At 44.1% G+C, this 17,402-nt stretch overlaps 1 protein-coding gene across 13 annotated transcripts in view, besides 5 other annotated features; it reads left to right on the top strand.

The window, feature by feature from the left end:
- TRANK1 (tetratricopeptide repeat and ankyrin repeat containing 1) overlaps nucleotides 1–17,402 on the top strand; it is a 118,926-nt gene that overhangs the window by 29,631 nt on the left and 71,893 nt on the right. For 9 of the 13 annotated variants that reach the window (XM_017007570.2, XM_047449328.1, NM_001329998.2 and 6 more), the window contains 3 exons: nucleotides 7,660–7,791; nucleotides 12,839–12,965; nucleotides 16,855–17,005. In XM_017007570.2, coding sequence (XP_016863059.1) covers nucleotides 7,660–7,791; nucleotides 12,839–12,965; nucleotides 16,855–17,005 — 410 coding nt within the window. Of the gene's footprint in view, nucleotides 1–7,582; nucleotides 7,792–12,838; nucleotides 12,966–16,854; nucleotides 17,006–17,402 lie in introns of those variants that run through there. The other 4 variants (XM_047449326.1, XM_047449329.1, NM_014831.3 and 1 more) reach the window with 4 other exon arrangements.
- Nucleotides 3,538–3,587: an enhancer, noted in NCBI's record as "active region_19665". NCBI's record gives its function as "activates an Ori minimal core promoter by ATAC-STARR-seq in GM12878 lymphoblastoid cells {active_cell/tissue: GM12878}" and the evidence as "EXISTENCE:reporter gene assay evidence [ECO:0000049][PMID:35858748]".
- Nucleotides 5,333–5,501: a silencer, noted in NCBI's record as "fragment chr3:36952104-36952272 (GRCh37/hg19 assembly coordinates)". NCBI's record gives its function as "represses an EF-1alpha promoter that drives an FKBP-Casp9 reporter gene in an ReSE screen in phorbol 12-myristate 13-acetate-treated (for megakaryocytic differentiation) K562 erythroleukemia cells {active_cell/tissue: K562(+PMA)}" and the evidence as "EXISTENCE:reporter gene assay evidence [ECO:0000049][PMID:32094911]".
- Nucleotides 7,671–7,820: an enhancer, noted in NCBI's record as "active region_19664". NCBI's record gives its function as "activates an Ori minimal core promoter by ATAC-STARR-seq in GM12878 lymphoblastoid cells {active_cell/tissue: GM12878}" and the evidence as "EXISTENCE:reporter gene assay evidence [ECO:0000049][PMID:35858748]".
- Nucleotides 7,831–8,150: an enhancer, noted in NCBI's record as "active region_19663". NCBI's record gives its function as "activates an Ori minimal core promoter by ATAC-STARR-seq in GM12878 lymphoblastoid cells {active_cell/tissue: GM12878}" and the evidence as "EXISTENCE:reporter gene assay evidence [ECO:0000049][PMID:35858748]".
- Nucleotides 8,171–8,220: an enhancer, noted in NCBI's record as "active region_19662". NCBI's record gives its function as "activates an Ori minimal core promoter by ATAC-STARR-seq in GM12878 lymphoblastoid cells {active_cell/tissue: GM12878}" and the evidence as "EXISTENCE:reporter gene assay evidence [ECO:0000049][PMID:35858748]".

Genomic DNA, 17,402 nt, shown 5'->3' with positions numbered 1-17,402 from the left:
TGTGGCTAGTGCCTTCTGTATTGTATAGTATAAAATTGAACATTTGCATTATCACAGAAAGTTGTCATAGACAATGCTGCTTTCCCAGTTGCATTTAGATGAATTCCAAGACCCTCTGATGGCCTTCAAGATCCATCATCTACTTACTGCAGCAATTACCTACTCTTTCAGCTTCACTTTTGCATCCTACTCACCTGACAGTTCTTGAACTGTGAAGCTCAGAGCTTTTGCATGTGCTGTTTCTGTGGCCTGGACACCTACTGTCCTCGTCACTGGGCTAACCGCTCACTATTTAGATCTTGTCTTAAATGTCAATTCCAACAGACTTGCCTTGATCCCTGCAATCTAAGCTGTGATCTCCTGTTACAGCCTTTCTTATACCCTCTACTTTTTCTTCATAAGAAGAAAAATATTTTAACTATAATATTTGTGTGATTATTGATGTACTTAATGTTCATCTCCCTAACAGACAGTAAACTTCTGGAAGGTGGGGATAGTGGCCATCCTTTCACCATCAGACTCCTGATCCCCAGCACAGTGCCCAGCATAGGGTAGATGCTATATGAATAATAGGATTAGGGTGTGCTGAAAGTTCAGATCCAGTGGGAAGGCACATGTGTGTTGGGTGTGTGAAAATTAAAAACAGTTCTTTATCACTGTAGGATGACTGTAGTTAACAATAACATATAGTTCAAATAGCTAGAAGGAGGATATTGAACATTCCCAACACAAAGAAATAATAAATGTTTGAGATGATGGATATGCTACATACCCTGATCTGATCACTTATACATTATATGCATCAAAACATCACTATGAATATGTACATTATCAATATGTCAATTTAAGAAATAAAATAGGTAGGCCTGGCGCGGTGGCTCACACCTGTAATCCCAGCACTTTGGGAGGCCAAGGCGGGTGGATCACGAGGTCAGGAGATTTAGACCATCCTGGCTAACACAGTGAAACCCCATCTCTACTAAAAATACAAAAAATTAGCCGGGCGTGGTGGCCGGCGCCTGTAGTCCCAGCTCCTCAAGAGGCTGAGGCAGGAGAATGGCGTGAACCCGGGAGGCGGAGCTTGCAGTGAGTGGAGATCGGGCCACTGCACTCCAGCCTGGGTGACAGAGATGAGACTCTTTCTCAAAAAACAAAAAACAAAAAAGAAATAAAATAGGCCTGGTGTGGTGGCTCACGCCTGTAATCCCAGCATTTTGGGAGGCTGAGGCAGGTGGATCACCTGAAGTCAGGAGTTGGAGACAAGCCTGGCCAACATGGTGAAACCCCGTCTCTACTAAAAATACAAAAATTAGCTGGGCATGGTGGTGGGCACCTGTAATAGCAGCTACTAGGGAAGCTAAGGGAAGAGAATGGCTTGAATCCACGAGGCAGAGGTTGCAGTGAGCCGAGATCGCGCCATTGCACTCCAGCCTGGGTGACAAGAGTGAAAACTCCTTCTCGAAATAAATAAATAAATAAATAAATAATCTAGAAAAATGTTCCCAGGAGCTGGGGATGGGGGATTGGGGGTGTTCTGTATCATGACTGTGGTTGTGGTTGCATGATCATAAATTTTGTTAAATGAATTGAACACTTAAAATGGGTGAATTTTATCATATGTAAATTGTACCTCAATAAAATTTACTTAAAAAAAAAAAAAAAAGGAAGACACCAGCTGGGTGCAGTGGCTCATGTCTGTAATCCCAGCACTTTGGAAGACCGAGGGATCACCTGAGCGCTCACTTGAGCTCAGGAGTTCAAGACCAGCCTGGCCAACATGGTGAAAACCCTGTCTCTACTAAAAATACAAAAATTAGCCTGGCATGGTGGCGTGCGCCTGTAATCCCAGCTACTTAGGAGGCTGAGGCAGGAGAATAGCTTGAACCCGGGAGATGGAGTTTGCAGTGAGCCAAAATTGCACCACCGCACTCCAGCCTGGGCGACAGAGTGAGACTCAGTCTCAAAAAAAAAACAAAAACAAAACAAACCCAAAAACAGTCAAGAGACCCTAGATATTGGGGAGGTAGATAATTATTTATGGTGTTTACTTTTTGCTGTGAGAATGACTTTTAGGTTATAAATTTTACAAAAACAGTTCGGAGCTGGTCTCGTCAACTGGCTTTAGAAATACCATCTTTGGTGTGCATGTAGTTGGGTGTAATTGAGGCTGTAAATAAATGAGGAATAACTTAAAGTTGATGGGCGAAGGGGATAAGTTGCACTGGTAATGCCTTAGGTTTAGTGCAGGCCACTTTACTGGGCTTTGGTCGGGGGCAGGATGGTGAGACAGCTGAGGGGGGTGGTGGCAAGGTGTTCCGGTCTTGTCCTATTTAAATGCCCTGGGTAGGGAAGACTTGGGTGCAGCACCACATACTTTTCCAGGGGCCTTATGAAATATTTTGAGTGAGTTTCTTAAGAAAATTCCTGTTCTTCTTGTCCCACATTTGTACCCCTTTCCCCAAGAAAAAAAGAAAAAAACAAAACAAAACACATTGAAGTCCCCAGGATATATTCTGACTTTGGATTTTTATCCTTGACTGTCTGTGGCACCCTTCCTGCGGGGAAGAGGAAAGAGTCACTTTTAAGAGAGAGAGAAAGAAAGAGAGGAGAGGAGAGGAGAGAAAGAAAGAGAGGAGAGGAGAGGAGAGGAGAGGAGAGAAACAAAGCAAGAAAAAGAAAGCAAGCAAGAAAGTAAGTGAGCAAGCAAGCAAGCAAGCAAGCAAACAGGCAAGAAAGAAAGATAGATAGAAAGATAGAAGGAAAAGGACGGTCATGGTGGCTCAAGCCTGTAATCCCAGCACTTTGGGACACGAGGCGGCCGGATCACTTGAGGTCAGGAGTTCGAGACCAGTCTGGCCAACATGGGGAAACCCTATTTCTACTAAATATAGAAAGTTAGCTGGGCATGGTGGGATTACAGGGCGCACGCCTGTAATCCCAGCTACTCAGGAAGCTGAAGCAGGAGAATGGCTTGAATTCGAGAGATGGAGGTTGCAGTGAGCCAAGATTGCGCCACTGCACTCCAGCCTGGGTGACAGAGTGAGACTCCATCACACACACACACACACACACACACACACACAAAAGAGACATACTCTTTCTAGCTTCAACTTGGATCTACTGCTACTGCCAGCATTCCCGAGTTAATCTTGGATCATTGACTGCTTTTGGGCTCTTTTGGCAACCCTAAACAAAAAAAGCAAGCAAGCAAACAAAAAACCCCAAAAAAATAAAATAAAAAAGTAAACAAATTTGTTGTCAAGAATTCAAGCAGTACCCAGATAATGTATGAAGGGAAAGCCATCCTCTCTGCCCATTTCAGTAATAACCCCTCCATAGGCCATCTGTGTTGCCAGTCTTTGCTGTAATCCTGTATGTCAGTTACAGAACTTCATGTGTATACGTATACACAATGAGTCATAAAACCCACAACCACCTGGATCTGCTCTGTTTCAGACTTGCTTGTTTCAAAATCTACTCAGTGCATTTGCATTTTTCTTGCATCTTCTTCCTCATATGTAGCTCAGCAGCCTGTGACAGCTTCCAACAACTAGAGTTTGAATTCTCATAGAGACATAGTGAAAATTTCTGAAAGCCAGCCAGGCAGCTGTGCAATTGTCCTTAAGTATTTTGTAGCTTTTACACCATTAACGAAACTGAAAGTGCAGGGTAGAGTGCTCAGTGCCAGCCAAAATATAAGATACCCTAGTGATTTTACTGGGTGCTGATCTTTTAGCCTCTGTCTTGGCCCTTCAGAGTGTAGTTTGGCTCTTAAAGTGAGGCCACCTAGGTTGGAATTCTCACATTACCAATTTCAGTGTGACTGTGGCAAGTGGTAAGTGGCTTAACCTGTCTTTGCTTCACTTTCCTTATGTGCAAAATAGAGATAGAGTCACGCTGACCTTATAGCACTTTTTTTTTTTTTTGACAGAGTCTCACTCTGTTGCCCAGGCTGGAATGCAGTGGCTTGATCTCAGCTCACTACAACCTGCATCTCCTGGGCTTAAGTGATTCTCGTGCCTCAGCTTCCTGAGTAGCTGGGGCTATAGGCATGCACTACCATGCCTGGCTAATTTTTGTATATTTTTAGTAGAGATGGGGGTTTCACCATGTTGGCCAGGCTGGTCTCGAACTCCTGACCTCAGCTAATCTGCCTGCTTCGGCCTCCCAAAATGTTGGGTTTACAGGCGTGAGCCACTGTGCCTGGCCGAGGCTTCTTATAAGAATGAAAAGACACAATGATGTAAAGCACATAGTAGGTACTTAGCAGATATTAGCTATGAAGAATATTGTCATTATGGTAAATTATTACCACTTTTATTTAATAATTTCATCTTATAAATAAATCATCAGTTGGTCAGTTTTTTCTTTTTTTTAAAGACCCAACAACGGAGCCATCTGTATTCTATTGTAGAGATATAAAGCATTCTTCCGTGTAATGAGAATGTAACTCTCAATGAATCCTATTAGGAAGAAAAAAGCCTTCTGTATGGTTGGCATTCCTTCTTTCACCTTTGATGTGATTGTATCAATAAAAAGCAGAAACATAGGTGGGTGAATACATTTGTTGTTGCTCACATAACATTAAGAGCTGACTTGGTTTCTAGAGAACTATGAAAAATAATATTGAAATGAAGAGTTTTTTTTTTGTATTTGTAAATACAATGGAAATACCTTGTGTTTGAATTCTTCAGTTAAACCCTTAAAGAGTCTGTTTGATAACATTTATGGTCTGATTAGTAAGAGGGTACATCGTAGAGTGATTGGAAATTCAGAAAATCAAGGAAGAAAATTAAAATTCTGTCAAATCCCAAAGGCGTGGCTTTTAACATTTTGGCATATTTTCAATACATTTTATGTATTTAAAACAATTTGGGATTATATGCCTTTTCAACCTTATAGGCCTATATTTTTCATTTACTAACTTGCTCTGTCATTAAATGTTCTTTTACAATATGCCTTTTCAACCGTATAGGCCTGTATTTTTCATTTACTAACTTGCTCTGTCATTAAATGTTCTTTTACAACACGATTTTTTTTTTTCCAGATGGAGTTAGCGCTTGTCACCCAGGCTGGAGTGCAGTGGCGTGATCTTGGCTCACTGCAACCTCTGCCTTCCGGGTTCAAGCAATTCTCCTGCCTCAGTCTCCCAAGAAGCTGCGATTACAGGTGCTCACCACTATGCCTGGCTAATTTCTGCAGTTTTAGTAAAGACGGGGTTTCACCATGTTGGCCGGGCTGGTCTCGAACTCCTGGCCTCAGGTGATCCGCCCGCCTCAGCTGATCAGCCTCCTAAAGTGCTGGGATTACAGGCATGAGCCAGCGCACTGGGTCTTTTGCAACATGATTTTATTTTATTTTATTTTATTTTTTGGAGATAGAGTCTCACTCTGTCACCCAGGCTGGAGTGTAGTGGTGTGATCTTGGCTCACTGCAACCTCTCCCTCCTGGGTTCAAGCGATTCTCCTGCCTCAGCCTCCCGAGTAGCTGGGATTACAGGTGCGTGCCACCGCACCTGTCTGATTTTTGTATTTTTAGAAGACATGGCGTTTCATCATGTTGGCCAGGCTGGACTCGAACTCCTGACCTCAGGTGGTCTGCCCGCCTCAGCCTCCCAAAGTGCTGGGATTACAGGTGTGAGCCACTGTGCCCAGCCACAACATGATTTTAAAAATAACTGTGTGTTGTTCTAACATACGGATCTTCTATAACTGATTTAAACCCATTATATATTATGGAACATTTAGAGTTATTTCCAAGTTTTCGAGGTGGTGAACATCCATGAGGCTAAACCTATTTATGATGTATTCTATTTCCTCTGTAAGCAGTGTCCCCAACATTTCGTGTCATTCTTTTAATTATTTTCCAATGATATTTTGTTGTTCAATTTTTGATTTACTTATGCACTAGTGAGGGTGATCCTATTTACCCACTTTTCATATATTTAGTAGCAATTACTTGGTGTTTCTTTGTGAATTGTTTCTTAGGACCCTTATACATTTTGGTGAGAATGTTGGTCTTTTCTTGCAGTGGAAAGCTATTTATAACGGAGGGATATGAACTCTTTGTCAGTTATTGCAACAATTTTCTTGTTTCAGTTGTTTGACCATGGCCAGCTTAAAGAATATTTATTGGACAAATGGCCGACAATATTTGAAAGAAAAGCATACTTTATTCCCTAGTACATAGCTCTTTACATTTTTTCATGTTCTTCTTAGTCATCTCTGTGTAAATAGTAGTCATATAATTTAGAGATTACTACATGAAAAGCATAGGTAGAGTTCAGTATTCTGACTTAAGAGTCATGTGTCTCATTCTGTTAAAGCTCTGCTTAAGAAGTGGAGTACAGTTCAAAAACCCCATTCCCAAGAAGTCAAATTGTTTAAAATAAATCACCACTTATGTGTGCTTGGGTCTGTTTCCCCCTCTGACCCCTTACTTGGATTTAAAATGATAAAATTAATAATTACTGTCTCTCCAAGAATTGTGTTGGTCATCAAGACACCTAAGAAATTTTATGACCCCATAGGTACATGTCATCTGTGAACACCTGAAACTGTCCACATATTTAAGACCTACCCTACCCTACCAATTTGCCTTTCCCTCTGCCATCTTGAGAGGAAGCAATACTAAAGGACCTCTTCTCTGACCCCCACCTTTTCCCTGTCTCCTTGGCAGCTGCTTCTTAAGATCTTCCTGGGTGCTCTCCTCTCCTGCCTTTGTTCAGCACACTTACCAAGGCCCCCCATGTGGTCAGGGCTGCCAGGCAGTTCTCTCCAACCACCCAGGCCACACTGGAGAAAATCAGTAATGTGCGTCTTCTCTGGGTCTGGCATTCAATTGTTACACCACAGATATTTAAGTACCCCTTATGTTCAAGGCCATACGGCTACAAAACTTAACAAAATAGGGGTTTGACCTGAAAGAGGCAAATACCCTTGGGGGACACAGACAAGTAGGCAGGCAATGGCTGTCTCAGGGACAAATATTTCAAGGCTTATTTTATAGTGTTTTAAGAAAGGAGGGGGACAGGAGAGACAGTGGTTGTGTCTCTGTGTCCTAGCCACTTGCATACTGAGGCCTTCACCTGCCCTCCCTGTTCCATCTGCTAAGAGAGTGGAAGTACTATCAGCTGAGTTTTTACCAATACGTGATGTGGTACAGTGGTCAAGAGCAGAAACTAGAAATTGGTCAGATCTGGGGTCAGAAATGGGAAATGCCATCAGCAGATTTTTAGGCAAGTGACTTGAACCTCTGAGCCTCAGTTTCCTCATCTGAACAGTGGGGACAATGCCTTCCTGTGGGCTGTGATGATGGGTAAATGAGATTAATAATAATGCCAGTTACAGGGATAGCACTCACTACCTGCCAGGTTTATGTTGTCTCATGCATGGAAGCAGCCTCCTCCAGATCATTAATGCTGAATAAATGGAATTGGTCTGGCCACCCTTGAGAACAGAAAAGAACTGACAAAGAAATAGTCTTGTCAGACACTCTGCCTGGTTTCCTGGTGGTGAGAGGTGTTGCCAAGATGTGCCCTTTGAAGGTGGGTGGGGCCATAGTGAGCGAACTCCTTCTCCAGATTTCAGCAATGCAGACCGGAAGGTGAACATGCCCTGCACGGGTCTGGCAGCAAGCGTCTCCCCCGTCTCCTCACAGGATGGACCTGACAGCTTACGCTGAGCTGCTGAAAGAATCCGGCAACCAGGTTCTTAAGAATGGGAACTTCTCTTTGGCCATCAGAAAGTACGATGAAGCCATCCAGATTCTCCTGCAGTTATACCAGTGGGGGTAAGTGTTTGCATTTTCACCTCATCTTTTCTTTTTCAGTACATGGGACTCTGTTCCTTATGATTTCTTTTCATTTCTTATCATTCCACCCTGTTTCTGTTTTCTTTATTGCTCACTTCCTATTTATCTTCTCTGCATTGTCAGCTTAGAAGTGAACAGGGATTGTGTAAGAAGGGAAATAGAAAGTGAAACATAGAGGACTGTTGATAAACATAACAAAACTTCCCGTTCTGGCTGGCTAGGGGTCAGATTTAATGGGATGGCTGAAGTCTTCGAACAAACCTCTTCGTTGTCATTCATTTCATCTTCTTTATTATCTATGCCATTTACTCCGTGGCCACAGCGCACACCCCGCCGGGCACTAAGGTTCACTTTCTCTTTCCTTGCCCCTTCAGCTTCTTACAGACCTGTTCTCAAACATTGTAGTATCACAACATGCTTAAACATTGCTGAGGACCCTAAAGAGCTTCTTCTGTTTATGTAGGCTGTAGCTGTCAATACAGTATGGTAGAACTTAAAACTGATAAAAAAATAAAATATGTATTTATTTAAAAATATTGGCCGGGTGCGGTGGCTCATGCCTGTAATCCCAGCACTTTGGGAGGCCGAGGTGGGCAGATCACGAGGTCAGGAGATCGAGACCATCCTGGCTAACAGGGTGAAACCCCATCTCTATTAAAAATACAACAGATTAGCCGGGTGTGGTGGTGGGCACCTGTAGTCCCAGCTACTCCGGAGGGTGAGGCAGGAGAATAGCGTGAACCCGGGAGGTGGAGCTTGCAGTGAGCCGAGATTACGCCACTGCACTCCATCCTGGGCGACAGAGCCAGACTCCGTCTCAAAAAAAAAAAAAAAAAAAAAAATCAATAAATTTGCTGGGTAGAGTGGCTCAAACCTGTAATCCCAGCACTTTGGGAGGCCGAGGCGGTCAGATCACCTGACTTCAGGAGTTCAAGACCAGCCTGGCCAACATGGTGAAACCCCATCTCTACTAAAAATACAAAATTAGCTGGGCGTAGTGGCGCACGCCTGTAATCCCAGCTACTTGGGAGGCTGAGGCAGGAGAATCGCTTGATCGTGGGAGGCAGATGTTACAGCGAGCCGAGATCGTGCCATTGAACTCTGGCCTCGGTGACAAGAGTGAAACTCTGTCTCAAAAATAAATAAATAAATATATCAGTAAATCTATTACATGTTGTATTTTTAAAGTATATTTTCCAAAACAAAAACTTGTACATTTTTGTAAATCTCCTTCTTAATGTCTTGTCTCCACAGAAGACAGCTGGCTTCTTACATCTGTATTCAGTCTGTTGCAATATCACATGTCATATGGCTTCTGGAAAACTCCCTGTGTGAGTGTGAGGGAATGAGTATGAACAAGGCACATTATGTCTTAATTATTGTATTAGTTTCCTGTTGCTGCTGTAGCAAGTTACCACCAATTTAGGGCTTAAAGCAATACAAATTTTTTCTCTTGCAATTCTGAAGATCAGAAGTTCTAAATGAGTCTAATGGGGCTAAAATCAAGGTGTTAGCAGGGCTGGTTCTTTGTGGAGGCTCTGAGGGGGAGAAGGCACTTCCTTGCCTTTCTCAGCTTTGAGTGGCGGTGTGTATTCTTTGGCTTGTGGCTCCTTCCTTTATCTTCAAAGCTTATCATTCCAATCTCTGCTTCTGTCATCACCTTGCCTTCTCCTCAGCTGTGCTTCTGTCTCCCTCTGTCTCTCTCGATCATAGGGACCCTTGTGATTTTATCATAATTCAGGATAATCTCCTATTCCTAAAATCCTTAAATTGATCACATCTGCTACATCATTTGTTAATCACAAAAGTTTGTCTTTTTCCATAAAAAGAACAGTATTTGGGGGCCATTATTCAGCTTACCACAACTGTGAAAGTATTTTCACCTTGTGGATCACCTGCAGTGGCCTTGAGGGTCCCCAGAAGTTCCCAGATCATCCTTTTGGAACAGCTGCAGTAGAGCGAGCAGATGTTGGCATCTGTAGGGTGCACACAACCTAAACTTGTGCTAGGAAATGGCACCAAATTAAATTACTGAAACACGGCTCCACCTCCCCCTCCCATCTCCTTGATGTCTACACTCTAGTTGAGGTTGAGTTGAGTGTAATTAGCTTGTGTCTGTAGTTTCTGCAGTTCTGCCTTGTCCTGGTACATATCAGAATTGTGTCAGAGCTGGGTCTAGAGATCCTCGATCAAGGCAAACATTCAGCTTTCTTAGAAAGAGGTAGTATTGTGTAGTGTTTATGGTTGTAGACTGACCCCACACTATGTGTGTTCAAAGCTCAGCTCCACCACTTACTGTGTGACCCCTACTGGGACTTCTGCCTGGACCCTCATGTTGCCTTTTGTGGGACCTTCCTGACACTGTTCCCCTTGCCCATCACCTGCTGCTGGCCTTCCTGCCACAGCTAGCTAACACTGAGACTCAGGTGCATGTGATTTACAGCGTACTTGCAGGAGAAAGGGGACTGAGGGAGGCAGGATGGCACAAGGAAGGCTCTAAGCAGGGATGGTGTCTAAACCAAGCAAGATTTGCCTGATCCCATAGGCAGCTCTGGAGCATGAATCATACTGCAGAGCTGGTTCCATCTTGAGGCAAGGAGGTTAACCTTTTGATTCTCATATCAGTCAGTCACTGGTTTTAGGCTGTCTGGCTCCCGGCAGTCATCCTAGGGAGTGGGCTATATTAGTCTGCTTGCGCTACCATAACAAAATAGCACAGACTGGGTGGCTTAAACAACAGAAATTTATTTTTCAAAGTTCTACAGGCTGGGAAGTCCAAGATCAAGCTGCCCCCTGTGAGGGCTGTCTTCCTGGCTTGTAGATGGTTGCCTTCTCACTGTGTTACGTGCAAAGAGGAGAGAGCAAGCTCTCCAGCGTCTCTTCTTATTCCATTGTGAGGACTCCACCCTCATGACCTCAGCTAAACATAATTACCTCCCAATGGTTCCATGTTCAAATATTGTCACATTGAGGGGTAGGGCTTCAACCCAGGGATTTTTTTTTTTTTTTTTGAGACAGAGTCTTGCTCTGTCTCCCAGGCTAGAGTGCAACGGCACGATCTCGGCTCACTGCAAGCTCCGCCGCCTCCCGGGTTCACGCCATTCTCCTGCCTCAGCCTCCCGAGTAGCTGGGACTACAGGCACCTGCCACCACGCCCGGCTAATTTTTTGTATTTTTAGTAGAGATGGGGTTTCACCGTGTTAGCCGGGATGGTCTCGATCTCCTGACCTCGTGATCCGCCCGCTCGGCCTCCTAAAGTGCTGGGATTACAGGCATGAGCCACTGTGCCCGGCCTACCCAGGGATTTTTTTTTTTTTGGCAGTTGGGGATGGGGGAAGTTCAGTCCCTAGTATGGGTGTAACTTCCTGGGGAGAGGGTAGCTCTCATTAGGCTGAGGATAAATCTCTGGAGAACAGGGTGCTGAGAACCTCTAGCTGCAGCCAACAGACATTGCAGCTGGGAATGGCTGCACTGGCCAGAGTGTCTGGGATGGACACCATGGCATCTCTTACACTTGCGGTCACTGCTCCCTTGCTGATCCCTCACTGCCTGACCCCACTGCCTCCTGTGTGCTTCTGGGGCCTCATCCCTTCACCTAGAGGGAATGTTGGGCCATGAAAGAAGCCAGACACAAAACATCGAGGGTGGGGACAGTAATGGAGGTGATTTTTCCTTTGTTTATTAATATTTTTGTGCTTGTCTGCATTATCTACAGTGATTTTTGTATTATTCTACAGTGATTTGTATTATTTTTACGATTAAGATTTTTTTTTTTCTTTTTTTGAGACGGAGTCTTGCTGTGTTGCCAGGCTGGAGTGCAGTGGTGCGATCTTGGCTCACTGAAATCTCCTCCTCCTGGGTTCAAACGATTCTCCTGCCTCAGCCTGCCATGTAGCTGGGACTACAGGTGCACCCCACCACACCCAGATAATTTTTTTGTATTTTAGTAGAGATGGGGTTTCACCATGTTGGCCAGGATGGTCTCGAACTCCTCGCCTCGGCCTCGGCCTCCCGAAGTGCTGCGATTACAGGCATGAGCCACTGCGCCTGGCCTATTTAATATCTTAATTATGTAATCCCAGCACTTTGGGAAGCTGAGGCAGGCGGATCACGAGGTCAGGAATTCGAGACCATCCTGGCCAACATGGTGAAACCCCATCTCTACTAGAAATACAAAAATTAGCCGGGTGTGGTGGTGTGCACCTGTAATCCCAGCTACTCGGGAGGCTGAGGCAGAAGTGCTTGAACCCAGGAGGTGGAGGTTGCAGTGAGCTGAGATTGCACCACTGCATTCCAGCTTGGGCGACAGAGTGAGACTCTGTCTCAAAGATATTAAATAAAAAAGAAGTCATAAGGCTTGCTTTTTTTATTTGTGTGTCTTATATTCCATTGGTAGCTGGGCTTCTCTTGACATATTGTGGTTTGCTTTGAATTTTCCTTTTTCTTCTGGCCTGGTTTCAGCATTAACTTGCAGCTATATTACCTCTAGACCAAGGCCAGAGCCATCCCTGCCCTGCTGCGCTTTAAAGGGCCCTCCTTTGGCCATCTTCCAGCTGTGCCCCTCCTCACAGGCAGGAGTCTGTGGGGCCAGGGCCGTACTCACCCAGAGTTCTTGCATCCCCTTTGGTCTACACTGTGGGTACCAAGACTATGGAATTCCCTGCCTTATAGGCCCTGCTCCCAGGGCCTGCACAGGCCTCTTACCTGAAGCCGATTCTTCTGAGGGCTGGCAATGGAGATGAAATGATTATGCGTGGAGATCAGTGAGAGATGGAACCAACCTGTTGAGAACAATTGTCATTAAAAGACGGGAGCAGAGTATTTGGGAGTGAGGAAGGACAGATTTATATATTGTAAATGTTCCAGGCTCGTTTGGGGTCTGGGAGACTGATCTGATAAGCATGAATGAGTCATTTCCTACTGAAACCCCCTTCCTGATGGCAGCAGCCAGCACCGAATGGGGGGACTTCACAGACTGTTTTCTGTATTTGCAGAACCATGACAGACCACCGGTTTGTTCTTACAGGGTTCCCCCGAGGGACTTGGCTGTGCTGCTGTGCAACAAATCAAATGCATTTTTCAGCCTTGGGAAGTGGAATGAGGCATTTGTTGCTGCCAAGGAATGTCTCCAATGGGATCCAACCTACGTGAAGGTATGGGGTGGGAGGGTGAAGGTGTGGGGAGATGACTTGAGAGTATTGGGGTGGTGGATGAAGGTATGAAAGGATGAGAGAAAGTGTGGGGCAGTGGCACCTGGGGGTGGCAGCTGCTGCCTCCTTCCTTTTAGCCTGCCTCTTTCCATTCCTTTTAAAAGTGGAAATGCTAGGAGTTCTTCTAGATCTCTTTGCATCTTCAGACAGATGCCCATGGGGCATGTGATCATTATCTGGAGAAGAGTAAAAACAAGGATCGCCTAGTGTTGAAATGCACTTTGTAGGAACAGCAGAGCTTGGCCTCCTAGTGGATGGAGCACAATGGAGATCACAGAGGAACTTGTTTTGTTCTGATATAGTTACACCCAAACTCATAATCTGTGCATGTTCTTTGCCGTTCGCAAGTTTCATCTGAGCAAAGCTTTACTTCAAATGCAAGCTGGGTGGGTGACACAAAACCAATTTTTCAGAAGGCATTTCTTATAGTAGAAACCAGCTCTTCAGAGAGATCATGGAGTTTGAGAGGCCACTAAGACCCTTTAAGATTGTTAACAAAGGTCAATAAACATCATTTGATTGTTTTTTCATCAGAAATGCCCTGAGTGCCACTCTTCATGGCACCTTTACTGTTCTTGGTGCCTCAAGGCAGACAAAAGGAGCAGAAGACTCATCCCAGCTCTTGAGTAGTTTGCATTCAATCTGGGGAGAAAAAGAGCACTACATTCAGAGGCCTTAAATTCAATAGCCACTCTGGAGCATCTGAAGCAACACATAATGTGTGACTGCTAGAAACAAAATACAATGGAAAGGGAGTGGTGGAGGTTTGACCTATAGAGTACTTTAACTTTAAGAGAGGGATTTGGATATTTTACATAATAAGTAGACACTGACTCTTAAACTTCTTATTGGAAGATGAATATTTTAGAACAAGCTCGTCCAACCCCTGGCCCAGGACAGCTTTGAATGTGGCCCAACACAAATTCATAAACTTTCTTAAAACATTGAGATTTTTTTTTGCGGTTATTTTTTTAAAGCTTATCAGCTATTGTTAGTGTCAGTGGATCTTATAAGTAGCCCAAGACAATTCTTCTTCCAATATGGCCCAGGGAAGCCAAAAGATTGGATACCTCTGCTTTAGAATTTATTGACTAGTTTTGAAAATGGGAGTGCATTCCTGGGAAATTTCTTCCCAAAGGTATTTTAGGATATTCCCAATCCTCTCGCTGGGACAGTATTAATATTTGGGTTTTGCCCAAATCCCGGAAGTGGAGGCTGTGACTGTGGCCCAAGGGACTTGATGCTCTTACATCAAGGGGCTTCTTCCTTGATTGGCCAAACCTGCAGCAGCCCCTGACAGCACAGCAACCAGGGCCACTTCCTAGTTCTTACCCAGAACTCCTGGGAGTCTCTCTCCATCCTCTCTCCCCTTCCCCACCGCAATTGTCCTCTACAGGCAAGGCAAAAAATTTTCCCTCTACCTTCTTTTGGTTCAGTGGCTGAGGCCTTGCAAATCAGATTGACAAGAGACAGATTAACGAGAGAAAAGCACACAGATTTCATTTGATGTTCACTTTTATGTGTCAAAGGAATCTTTCTAGAAGAGAGGTAAAGCTCCAAAAAATGTGGACAGGCCTGAGATCTTCTATGATATTTTTAATAAAGAATAATAAATTGTGGGGATGCGACAAGATAAAGGAAAAGAGTTTTAGGTCTCTAGGGGCTGCAAACTGTGGGAAGGTGTATATATGTGGGAACGTAGTGGAAGATAAGGGGCTATCTTAGCAAGGTTTGTTCAGGCCAGTCTTGGTGCTCAATTTCTCTCTTCTTCATGGCCATAAAACTTCCCTGGGAGAGAAGATTTATGGCAGTCCTCATTTCTTCAGAGTTTCTGCTTTTTAATCAGTTAAGTGAAGCTCAGGGGAGGCTTCTTTTTGCATCTGTTGAATCTCAGATACCTTCAGCTCGAAATAATCCTTATGCCAAAGTGGCATATTTTAGGGTGGCATATTCTGATCCCCTTCATCTTCCTCAAAAAAAAAAAAAAAAACAACCTTGAATCTGAGGAAGGCAAAGAAATGGGAGATTATCAGCTTGCCTAGTTAGAAAAAACGAAACACACTTTTTTTTCCTCCTCTCTTTGATTGTTATCTGAGGTCTTTAGACTTTCAAAATGAAAGTTAAAACAAATCATTAAATAGCCAGAAATTTGGTGTTACGTGGAGTTTTAAAGTACTTCCTTTTTTATGAACCCAGTTGGTGAACACCTGTTATCTTTTTTTTTTTTTTTTTTTTTTTTTGAGACAGGGTCTTGCTTTGTCACCCAGGCTGGAGCCTCACCTCGTGGGCTCATGTGATCCTCCTCCCTCCGCCTCTGGAATAGCTGGGACTACAGGCTTGCACCACCATGCCCAGCTAATGAAAACAAATTTTTTTTTTGTAGAGACAGGGTCTCACTATGTTGCCCAGGCTGGTCTTGAACTCCTGGGCTCAAGCAGTCCTCCTGCCTTGGCCTCCCAAAGTGCTGGAATTACAGGCTAGAGTCACTACACCCGGCTTTCTGTTATCTGAGACAGAAAATTGTTTTGGTAGATCCCTGATGCTGATTCAGGTGATCAACGTGGGGTAGGCAATATCATTTTATTCCCATTCAAGAGTCATATTATTTGTATATAGGCAAAACTAGACCATTTTCTTCTATTGATCATTGTAATTTTCCTCTTTCTATAGAAATCAAATATTTCTTTGGCCTCTCGTGAATATTGCTTATAATGTAGAACTCAGTAAATCTCAATGTTTGTCATTACAATTTGTTTTCTTACGTACCCAGTGGAAATTGTGTTTACTTTGAAAGGGGCAGGAAAAACACCTTTGTTTTCATGTCAATCTCATTCTTTTCCTGAACACTAATCAAAGGATTATTTTCATTCTTTTGTTCCGGCCCAAGCTGTGACTTGAAGTATGAATTAATAAATAAGGCCAGGTGCAGTGGCTCACTTGCACTGCACCCCGGCTTCATAATCCCAGCAGTTTGGGAGGCCGAGGCAGGAAGATGCTTGAGGCCAGGAGTTCAAGACCAGTTTGGGCAATATAGCAAGACTTCGTCTCTACAAAAAATGGAAAAATTATCTGGGCATGGTGGTGCACACCTGTAGTCCCAGCTACTTGGGAGGCTATGATGAGAGGTTAGTTTGAGCCCAGGAGTTAGAGGGTAGCAGTGAGCCAGGATCATGCCACTACACTCCAGCCTGGGTGATAGGGCAAGATCCTGTCTCAATCAATCAATCAGTCAATAACAAACCAACCAACCAGAGACGTAATTGAAAGCAGACCTTCTTCCTTCTCTCTGTGTCATATGTTAGATGCTATGTAAGTCATGGATTTGAAAGTGATTCTTTTCTTGGCAGTTAAATGACAGGAGCAATGTGGCACAGAATATAATGTGGAAACCCTGTATCCAGTGTTGGTTAGAAATCCATGTTTACATAGAAGTAAGACAGGATATAAGTCTGTTGCCCAGGCTGGAGTGCAGTAGCATGACTGTAACTCACTGTAGCCTCTATCTCCTGGGCTCAGGTAATCCTCTCACCTCAGCCTCCTGAGTAGCTGGGACTACAAGGTATGTGCCACTATACCCAGCTAATTTTTATTTTCTTTTTAGTAGAGACAAGGTCTCACTATGTTGCCTAGGCTGGCCTCCAACTCTTGAGCTCAAGCGATCCTCCTGCCTTGATCTCTCGGAATGTTAGGATTACAGGCATGAGCCACTGTGCCCAGCCAGAAGTCAGACTTTTAGAGTTGGATTTCCCATGTTGCCAATTTTGCTTTTTCTTTCACCAGCAGGTTAAAGGAGATGTGGTACATGACAGTTTTGCTTTTTATCCTGTTCCAGGGATACTACCGAGCTGGTTATTCCTTGCTGAGGTTGCACCAGCCTTACGAAGCCGCTCGCATGTTTTTTGAGGGTCTGCGACTTGTGCAGAGAAGCCAAGACCAGGCACCGGTTGCTGATTTCCTTGTTGGAGTCTTCACCACTATGAGCAGTAAGTTGGAACTGGGGAGACTTTTTGTAAAGTCCTTGCTATTTTATTGAAATAGCTCCTGGGGACTCAGGCTCATGGGGAGATACTTTCTGGGTGTTTCTTTGTGGCTGATTTATGCAGTTTAATGAATCTAGTTCACACATTAGAAAGCATTTTGGATGCTTCGGTGGCTTCTGCCTTTGTGAAAACAATGAAGTCCTTTTCACATAAATGACTAAAACTTTGAGAGTTTGGTTTCAGATTTTTTTTTTTTTTTTTTGAGACAGAGTCTTATTCTGTCACCAGGCCGGAGTGCAGTGATGCGATCTTGGCTCACTGCAAGCTCTGCCTCCCGGGTTCAAGTGATCCTCCTGCCTCAGCCTCCCGAGCGGCTGGGATTACAGGCACACGCCACCAC

The sequence above is a fragment of the Homo sapiens genome, chromosome 3 (assembly GCF_000001405.40).
Source record: "Homo sapiens chromosome 3, GRCh38.p14 Primary Assembly".
Taxonomy (NCBI): domain Eukaryota; kingdom Metazoa; phylum Chordata; class Mammalia; order Primates; family Hominidae; genus Homo; species Homo sapiens.
This window is presented reverse-complemented; position numbering and strand designations above follow the sequence as displayed.